This window comes from Homo sapiens, chromosome 10 (assembly GCF_000001405.40).
Source record: "Homo sapiens chromosome 10, GRCh38.p14 Primary Assembly".
NCBI classification, from domain to species: domain Eukaryota; kingdom Metazoa; phylum Chordata; class Mammalia; order Primates; family Hominidae; genus Homo; species Homo sapiens.
This window is the reverse complement of record NC_000010.11, coordinates 47,524,046-47,534,126: the sequence shown is the minus strand read 5'-3', so window position 1 is coordinate 47,534,126 and position 10,081 is coordinate 47,524,046. Positions and strand designations below refer to the sequence as shown.

Sequence of the window (10,081 nt, the reverse complement as noted above, 5' to 3'; positions counted from 1 at the left end):
AGCAAAAGTGAGTTGGCTTCTCAAGAACTTTTACCAGTAGCCTGTTTTGCTACAATTCTAGACCCAGACTGGGGTCCCAAGGCATCATAGCCCACAGCTTCTTAGCAAGTGCATGTTCAGTTGGATCCCCCAGCTCAGCCTGGGTCATCCCCACGTTCTGCCTCTTGGGCCATACATAGCTCAGCTCTGTACTGAGCCATCATCCCATGGTGAGCAAGACCCCATTCTTGGTCTTCAGTCTCTTTCCCTGCAGCATGCAATCAAGGTGGTGGCTGGAAGGGGCCAAGGAGCCACATGTCACAGTGCCCTGCTGCCTGAACAAGGACCAGAGGCCTGTGGAACACATGGCTCTCAGATTTCTCCCATTTGATGACTCATCAGCTGCCCCCACATGGCTTTCTAGCTCACAGCAGATCTAGCCTTCTCTGAGCAGTGAAGATGGGATGTTTTATGGTCATTTTCCCTGGTGTGGAGAGCCCAAGTGGAGTTCTTCAGCACACCCTACACCATCCCCTCACTAACACCCCCACCTGTCCAGTCTTACCTGCCTTCATATCAAAAGCACTCAGTTAACCCAGAGGGCTTCAGCCCTGCCCTGCCTGACTTTCTAGGAAACCCCTCTCTCCACCCACCCTAATCAGACACTGTCTGAAGGTTCCCCCTCATCATTTTAAAAGGAAGAGAAATTTTTCTGACACAGAGGTTCTGGTGAAGTGGCCAGCTCCCACATCACAGGGTGATGGTGGTTTGGACTGGACCAGGATCAGACAGTGCTGTCCTGGGGCTGGCCATCTGATAAGGGGCTCCAGAAAGGGCAGTGATGGACCCCTGGGAGGCTTTCTGCTCTCCTGATCACAGGTTTTTGGTGAGAGGACCTATTGGCCACTAGGGTGTCTGCGGGGGTGTGTGTGTGTGTGTGTGTGTGTGTGTGTGTGTGTGTGATGTGTGTTTACTTGGAATGACTTCTTTCAGCATGAAGCCCACTGTTTTGCTGAACGTATCTCACTGTTTCCTGAAACTCAGTACATTCAGCTGGCTTAAGGGTCCTGGGGCCTCGCTGTGTCATATTTGCACAAGCCTAGTGTCTGTGCAGACTGTACACTGGAGTTCAGTTGTAAGACCCTTTTGATCCCTTATTCTGTTCCTGTAATAGAAAAGCCATTTCACTCAATGGAATAGAAACCCAGATCTAATGGAGAGATGTTCTAATCTGCCATACACTGGGGCAGTGGCCAGTGATTTGGACTTTGTGGCACAGATGGAAATTTCCAGGTTCTCTAGGTGGTAGGCAGAGGCCTCACTTTTTAAGAAACTCCCCCACTCCACCCCTGCCAATGAGGACATTGCTTAGAGGTATTTCTATCAGTGTTGAGTAGAAGAGATCATTTCTTGGTGTTGAATTTCAGGTAAGGATGCCAGCTTCTGCATATCAGGGTGGTGATGTTTGGGCTGCGACAGGTCTAGACAGCAGTCTGAAAGGGGGCTCAAGGAAGTAGCTGTGAAAGGCCCCTGGGATGTTTTCTGCTCCCCTTTCTGCAAATCCCCTGGAGGGAGATCCTGTTAGTCACTACGGGATGTGTGTGTGTGTGTGTGTGTGTGTGTGTGTGTGTGTGTGTGTGTGTTCATCACTTGTTGCTTGGGGTGGGAAGAGACAACAACAACCTACAGAATCCATAGTTCTCAGTTCATCTCCCATCCTAGTCCAATCATGGCCTAACATCCTTAGCTACCGATCGCAGAGGAGACTGCGCATTTGTGTTCATGTGGCCTTGGATGTTGGCAGATTCAGATTGGTGCCCCAGGCATCTGTGCTGTAACTGCAGTTTCAGCGGGCTCAGGACCAGGCTAAAGGGCCTCCAAGCTTCCTCCAGTTTCCTGGTGCATGCATGTGCAATATGCTCCCCTGGCCTGGGTCTTTCCTGCCGCTTCTTGCCAGTTGGGTCAGAACTAGCTTATTAACCAGTTTTTCTTCTGAGCTTTAATCGAACTGGCTCCAACCAGTTGGAGGCTTGAAAAGGGCTACGTGCTAGTTATAGATTTTTAAAGATATATTATTATTTTAGAGTAGTTTTGAGTGTACAGCAAAATGGAGTGCAGAGTCCAGAGATCTCATATGCCCTCAATTCCTGTATACTCTCGGGTCACTCCACCAACAACCTCCTACACCAGAGCCACTTTGAAACATTAGAAAATATATTTGAGCATTCAGAAATGTATAAACTAGGCAGCCCCAGACTGCAAGCAGCTCAGAGGTCCCACAGAGAGGCTTAGGGAGGGTGGGGGAAGAATTTTATATGGTGAATGTGGAAGAAAAAGAAAATACTTGATTGGGTGAAGTGGAGCAGTGGCCTCATTTGGAACATTACAGTGGAAGGTCTCTAGTTAGATGTTAGTTGGTGGTTTCTGATTGGTTCTTACATTTCCTTTTATTATTTACACTGAGTCAAGTTTTGGTTTATTTAAGGAGGAATTGAGTGCACGGCAGCCACCTCAGCCTCATGGCCACCTGTTTATTTGATTATTTTTAACAGAGAAGATCCTTTTAAAAATATCTGTTACCGTGGCTGGAGTGCAGTGACGTGATCACGGCTCACTGCAGCCACAACCTTCCAGCTCAGGTGATCCTCCCACCTCAGTGCTCCCCACCCTGAGTAGCTGGGACTACAGGCATGTGCCACCACACCACCATGCTAGGCTAATGGTTTGTATTTGTTTGAGAGATGCAGTTTCCCTAAGTTGCTTAGGCTTCTTTTGAACTCTTAGACTCAAATAATCTGCCTGCATTGGTCTCCCCAAGTGCTGGAATTACAGGCCATCTAAATCTTTTATCTCAGGTTTGCCTTGTGACAAAAGGTGGGGTACTTTTTCTGACATGATGAGGCAGAGAAAGGTGAGGTGGGTGCATCCTGTGCATATGATTTTCTCAGGTGATGGGAATATGGTGGGCTCTTGCCTAATGGGATATATTTTCTCTTTGAATGATTTGGCAAGATATCAGATGAGAGAAGTTGAATAAATGTTAGAAGAACATAGAAAAAATAGGTTATACACATTGGGTTTCTGAAGAAATGATGTCATTGGAGAAACAAAACTTTTATTGATTTCTGGAAACATTTAGGGCCAATTTTTTGTGTAAGTAATTTGAATTTATGATGATATCTCTGACCACTTTTTGATATTTTTTCTGGTTCAGGTGAGTGGTGTCATTGAGCAAACACAAAGTCGGGCTCATCCAAGGATGAGATTTTGCCAGAGAAAGGATGAGCAGCAAGTCAGGGAGCTTAAGGTAATTATGAGACAGTGACTATCTAAAATTGCTTAGGTAGAAGGAGACAGATTGGATTTTTGTGTGTTTGGTATTTGGGATAAGAGGGATGTGGGTGTGTACTTGAGATGTGTTGTTTATTTTCTCTCTTTTTTCTTTTTTTTTTTTTGAGAGGGAGTCTCACTCTGTCACCCAGGCTGGAGTGCTGTGGCACAGTCTTGGCTCACTGCAACCTCTGCCTCCCGGGTTCAAGGGATTCTCCTGCCTCAGCCTCCCGAGTAGCTGGGATTACAGGCGCCTGCCACCACGCCCGGCTAATTTTTGTGATTTTTTTTTAGTGGAGACGAGATTTCACTATGTAGGCGAAGCTGGTCTCGAACTCCTGACCTCAGATGATCCACCCGCCTCAGCCTCCCAAAGTGCTGGGATTACAGGCGTGAGCCACCGCGCCTGGCCTGTTTATTCTCTTAAGAGAGAAAATGAGGGGATTAATGGACTGTAGTTCTGGACAAGGTGGAAAACTCTTAAAGTGGAAGTACTGGGGCAAGTGCTCTGACAGGGTAGGATGGTGCAGTCAGTCCCTTCACCCAGAAATCAGTAGAATGTTAGCAGTTCAGACTCAAACCTTGTGAAAAACAGGTGGTGGAAAGGAAATCCCTCACAGCAACTGGCACCATAATCAAGACAATGTTTACAGGATAAATGGAGTTACCTGCTTTCAGCCCCAGGTCGTAGCTATTGTCTGCCCTGCTGATATGTGATAATAATTTGTGATCCTGTTGTCTTAAAATGGGGTCACTCATCTCCAGTAGAATTAAGTCCACAGTGAAGTTGTCCCCCCATCCCCAAAGAGATAAACATATATGAATGAACTCACGTGATAACAACTACTGCTGCCTGGGATCATGAGAGACCTGAACTGAACTGATAGGAAGTGAAAGGTGGCTGAGATAATGAGAATAGACCCATCTGCAGAGGATCATAAAACCAGCAAAGACAAGATCTTGTCTAAGATGCCTTCACAAGCTTTGTCCATGAGAACTCTTAAGGATTTCACCAGACCTGTTGGCTGCTGCTGTGATCTCTGCCCAAGAGGAGCCTCTGACCAACATCCAAAGGGCTTCTGGACCCACTGGACTCCTCTGGAGGTACCTTGGTCTCCCGATCCATGGCTGTGGTTTTTTACTCCCTTTATCACTGCCTGTGTGTAGAATGATAATTGCACAATTGATAGTGTGAAGACCTCTTGATAAATGGTAAATCTGAGCATATGTATTTGGCTGACATGTCATTGTGAAACCTCACAGCTTCAGTCAGTGTCTCTCCAAGGACTAAACAATGGAAGACTGTAGAAGATGCTATTCATTAAGATATCGCAAGAATATGGAAGACTATTATTCGCTTCTCATGGGACAGGACTTTTCAGGGCACCTGAAAAAACTCCCATGAAAAATCACTTTTACAAAATGTCAAGTTATGATATCCAAGATGAAACCAATGAGTCACAACATTCACATAATACACTGTACAACCCTGATCTCTTGACTGTCATCAAATGTTTCTTACCTCTAAACCAAAGTTTCATTTTATAATTTAATTTTTCTCATTTTTTCCATTCTCTTAGCTTAAGAAAAGATCATTACAAACTTTTTGTAAGTTTTTCATATATGCTTGCAAAGGGTCGTAAAACTTTATTGTGATTATTCTTGCTTTAAGCTGAAACATCCCTAATCTTTCTTTAGAGATTGTGGCATAGCATGTTAGTTTCTTTTCCATATCCAATTGTTGTCTGTAATGAATACAGAAATACGGGCACTATTTTGTAACTTTAAATAGACATCATCTCAAGTCTACAAGAATTATCCAAAATGGTATTTAATGACATTTCTAGGTCTTCAGACACTATTAATGCAGATTGTAGCCTCTAGGTCCTGAAGATTTTACTAGATACTGGTTACTGAAACTGAGCTTTCTTGAATTCTTTTTCCTTCCACTGTGGTTTCCCGCATTTCAACATATCACCTATTTTTGTCCTCAAAGGTTACTTAAATTTTTTCCACAGAATTAAATTAAATATGAATCATCCCTCCTCTGATTTTTGAAATGACCCTTTGCTTCCTATGATAATGATTCTTCTGGTCCGTTTTGTAGTTATATGTTAGAGTTTGTAAATAGTCACACATTTTGCAACTGCATGTAATTTTCTTATTATTTTTTCCTCTTCCTCTAAAACTGCTGTTATTTCTTTTAACTTTTTGTGGGAAAAATTAAACCCATCTTTCACTTTGTTGATATACTTATTTATAATTGAACTCCTTGATTTTTGCTCGAATTGCTTTTCAAGTTACCCACTTTTAGGGAAGACATTATTTGGGTTTTGTTTAGTGTATCAGGCTTTTTTTAGTTAGTTGTATCAAGAAGTGTAGACTTTTCTATACATAATATCCTTTTTCCCACAGTATTTTTTTTTTTTTTTTTAAGTCTAGCCGGGTGCAGTGGCTCACGCCTGTAATCCCAGACTTTGGGAGGCCGAGACAGGCGGATCACGAAGTCAAGAGATGGAGACCATCCTGGCTAACACGTTGAAACCCCATCTTTACTAAAAATACAAAAAATTAGCTGGACATGGTAACGGGTGCCTGTAGTCCCAGCTAATCAGGAGGCTGAGGCAGGAGAATGGCATGAACCCAGGAGGCAGAGGTTGCAGTGAGCCGAGATCGTGCCACTGCACTCCAGCCTGGGTGACAGAGCAAGACTCCATCTCAAAAAAAAAAAAAAACATTCTGTTAAAATAAAGGTGATCAAAAGATCTTTTCCCAAACCTTTCCTTTACCAGAAATAGCTCTAGTGTCACATGGTCCTTTCTCCCTTCTTGCTTTTGTAGGAATCCAAAGCTAATCTGTCCCTGATCCGGATTGCACGCACCTGTGCCTTTTGGGGCCCTTCTGCATTAGTTCTTCCTTCTCTTCTAACCTCAAAAATGTGTTTTTTCTATTGGCTCTTTCCCTTTAACATAGAAGTATACTCACGCTTTTGTTGAATCTTGAAATAAAAGTCTTCCTTTACCACATATCTCCCTTTAATACTACATCTCTCTTCTCAGCCAAATACTTGGGAAGAGAAGCCCTGAGTTTGTGTCATTGTTTTCTCACCTCCAGTTCACTACTTTGCCCACTGCCTGACATCCAGCTCACTCACACACACACACAAGCCCAATCACTAAGTTGCCATAGCTAATTTGTAGCTTTCCTGCCTTCCTGGCAAAATTTGACTCTGCATTGGGATAATACATGTCGAGTACCTATTGAACAGGCACTGTGCTAGGTGCTACTGTTATAGATATGAAAAGAAGGCATCATCTCCTTTCTAACAACTCACAGGAGCAGCCATTCCTGATTCATACATGTCTCTTGACTCCCAGTGCTCACTTTTTCAAGCTTCACTTAATGCCGTGCAAATCACCCTATTCTCCAGGTCTTCTTTCTTCCCAGTTCTCCTTACTATACACAACTTCTCAAGGCAGTCACCTCCACACCCATGGCTTCAATTGCTTTCTCCATTCTCTGAGAACAATAGAATTTTAAATGGTTTTATTTCATGTATTAGCTTTATTTTATACAAGGTGCCTCACCTGCTGTAACCATAGATTCAAAGTTGCTCCATGAAAGTAATAAATGAAAAATGGTGATTTTTTAGCATGTAAATTTTAGGAAATTTCCCCAGTTACGCTTAATGGCTTGATTTAGTGTGTATGTTATTTTTGAAAACATATGTTGGGATGTCACAAATGGACTTAGCCTACAGAGATTTATATTCAACTTTTGACCAGAGAGTTCCATTTTAATGTGACACTGAGAGTAAAAAACTATCTTTTCCTCCTTACCTATTTCTCTTCCTACATTCTCGGCCAGGAGGAAGGCACTGCTACATACCCAGTCTTCCCCAGCAGAGCCTGAGCAGCTCTGTTTTCCTTCTACTTCCCCTCTTCTTTCACATCTCATGACCAAGCACTTCCTATTCTGTCTCCCAAATGATCACAGACTTTTTCCTCCACTTTTGTCACTGCCACTGCCCTTAGCATTACTCTGCCTTTAGAGAAAGTCTCTTAATTGGTTTGGTTGCTTCCTTCAGTCTTTATTATACAGACCACTACACGCACATCTGACAGAGACTTTTCACCTTTTTATGGTTGAATGACTGAAATTCCCAGAATAAAATTAAAACCACCCCAGCATCAAATTTGAGGTCAAATAGAGGTGGGTTTGTATCCCAGGTTCATATACTGTCCAGCAGTATGGTCTCAGAAAACTGACCTCCTTAAGCCTTTGTTTGTGTATCTGCCTAAACTCATTGAGAGTTGGGACTATTTCACACATACAGTGCCTGGCATGTAGAAGGGACTTAATGTTGAAAGAAGGGGAGGCATTTTAAAATCCACATCAAAAAAATGTTGTTCTGTTTGGGAGTGGTGGCTCACGCCTGCAATCCCAGCACTTTGGGAGGCCAAGGCAGGTGGATCACCTGAGGTCAGGAGTTCGAGATCAACCTGAGCAACATGGTGAAACCCCATCTCTACTAAAAATACAAACATTAGCTGAGCATGGGGGCGGGATCCTGTAATCCCAGCTACTTGGGAGGCTTAGGCACTTGAATGAGAATCACTTGGACCCAGGAGGTGGAGGTTGCAGTGAGCAATGATTGTGCCACTACCTGGGCAACAGAGTGAGACTCTGTCTCAAAAAAAAAAAAAATAAAAAGTAAAAAAAATTCTTTTAAAAATATACGAATCTGGCTGGGCACGATGGCTCATTCCTGTAGTCCTAGCACTTTGGGAGGCTGAGGTGGGCCTGATCAACATGGAGAAACCCCGTCTCTACTAAAAATACAAAATTAGCTGGGCATGGTGACGCATGCCTGCAATCCCAGCTACTCGGGAGGCTGAGGCAGGAGAATCGCTTGAGCCCGGGAGGCGGAGGTTGCAGTGAGCCAAGATCACGCCATTGCAGTCCAGCCTGGGCAACAAGAACGAAACTCCGTCTCAAAAAAAAAAAAAAAAAAATAGTGTTCAGCAAGGTTGAAGCATAAAAGGTTAATAGCCAGAATCATTTATCAATTGTATTTCTATACATCTACAAGACACAATCTGAAAATGAAATTAGAGAAACAATTTCACTGGGCAACAAGAGCAAAACTTCGTCTCAAAATAATAATAATAATAATAATCTACAATGTCATTTCCCATCCAAGCTTGACTTCTACCTTTACTTTCTGATATGGTTTTGCCATGTCCCCACCCAAATATCATCATGAATTATAATCCCCATAATCCCGATGTGTCGAGGGAGGGGCCTAGGGGGAGGTGATTGGATCACAGGGGCAGTTATCCTCATGCTGTTCTTGTGATATTCAGTAAGTCCTCATGAGATCTTATAGGGTTTTGTTTTGTTTTGTTTCTTGGGATGGAGTCCTGCTCTGTTGTCCAGGCAGGAGTGCCATGGCACGATCTTGGCTCACTGCAGTCTCTGCCTCTTGAGTTCCAGTGATTCTCCTGCCTCAGCCTCCTGAGTAGCTGGGATTACAGGCATGCACAACCACACCCAGCTAATTTTTGTATTTTTAGTAGAGACAGGATTTCACTACATTAGCTAGGCTGGTCTCAAACTCCTGACCTCAGTTGATCCACCTGCCTTGGCCTCCCAAAGTACTAGGGTTACAAGTGTGAGCCACCGTGCCCAGCTGAGATCTGATGGTTTTATACATGTTTGACAGTTGCTCCTTCACATGTTCCCACTCTCTGTGCGGCCACCATGTAAGTCGGACCTGCCCTTCTGCCATGATTGTAAGTTTCCTGAAGGACTTCCCCCTCTGCCATGATTGTAAGTTTCCTGAGGCCTCCCCAGCCATGTGAAACTGAGTCAATTAAGCCTCTTTCCTTTAAAAATTACCCAACCTCAGGTGTTTCTTTATATCAGTGTGAAAACAGACTGCTATACTTTCTGATAATCATGCTTAAGCAATTGGGGAATTCAGACTACCTGGGATCAAACTATGGCCCCACCCTTAGCAGTCATGTGACCTTGGGGGGGTTTACTTACCTTCTCTGTCCCAACAACTTCTGTAAAATCTGTAACATGAGATTGTTTCTGAGGGTTAAATGAGCATAGCACAGTGGGGACACTGTCAGGCACACACTACTTGCCAGATGTCGAGTATTCATCTTTATTGAAATAGGACTGTGGTAAGCCACTTTATGGCTCTCGATTTTGTATGAGAAAATCATGTTTAGTGCCTTGTTAGTAAAAGAAAGAAAATCTGAAAGTCCCTGCCATGGAAGGAAGAAATAGCGGGGAGAAAAGGGAGTTGGTAAGTTTCAGCATTTCAGAGCTTGGAGGGACAAGTTAGGTTTCTATTTTATGGAGAAGGAGGTGGAGGCAGGATGGGTCCTAAGGTGTCATTCAAAACACACAGCCATAACTCTTTATTGAGAGTAGAGCTAGGGCCCCAGGGATTGCTGTGATCAAGTTGCGGACAAAAATGACCACTCGTTGGAAGACAGGAGAGGAGTGTTTAGTTACAAAAGCAGTCAACAATTCAGGTGTATCTATATTCAGACAGCAAATAAAAGTTGTTCAACTTGGTTGCTAATGGGACCCACTCTACTGAGGCTTTGTGTAGAACTCGTAGAGGAAGCTGGCTTCGAGGAATGAACTACCCTGTGCTTTTCTTAGGACTAAAATCTCAGGAAGCTGGTGATGAATGAAAACCTTAGTCCCATTGGCACTGCACGAGGGGCCAGGAGAGCAGCAGCATCATAAG

At 43.6% G+C, this 10,081-nt stretch overlaps 1 protein-coding gene, 1 long non-coding RNA gene and 2 pseudogenes across 4 annotated transcripts in view; 3 read left to right on the top strand and 1 right to left on the bottom strand.

The window, feature by feature from the left end:
* The window catches only part of ANXA8 (annexin A8), a 523,804-nt gene that overhangs the window by 457,670 nt on the left and 56,053 nt on the right, over window positions 1-10,081 (top strand). The window lies entirely within an intron of this gene.
* BMS1P2-AGAP9 (BMS1P2-AGAP9 readthrough) overlaps window positions 1-10,081 on the top strand; it is a 51,748-nt pseudogene that overhangs the window by 19,374 nt on the left and 22,293 nt on the right. The window lies entirely within an intron of this gene.
* Window positions 1,660-1,775, bottom strand: RNA5SP312 (RNA, 5S ribosomal pseudogene 312; annotated as a pseudogene).
* LOC124902421 (uncharacterized) lies at window positions 3,660-10,006 on the top strand. The gene is made up of 3 exons (XR_007062141.1): window positions 3,660-4,413; window positions 9,035-9,104; window positions 9,994-10,006. It is a non-coding gene; the product is annotated as an uncharacterized LOC124902421 (long non-coding RNA).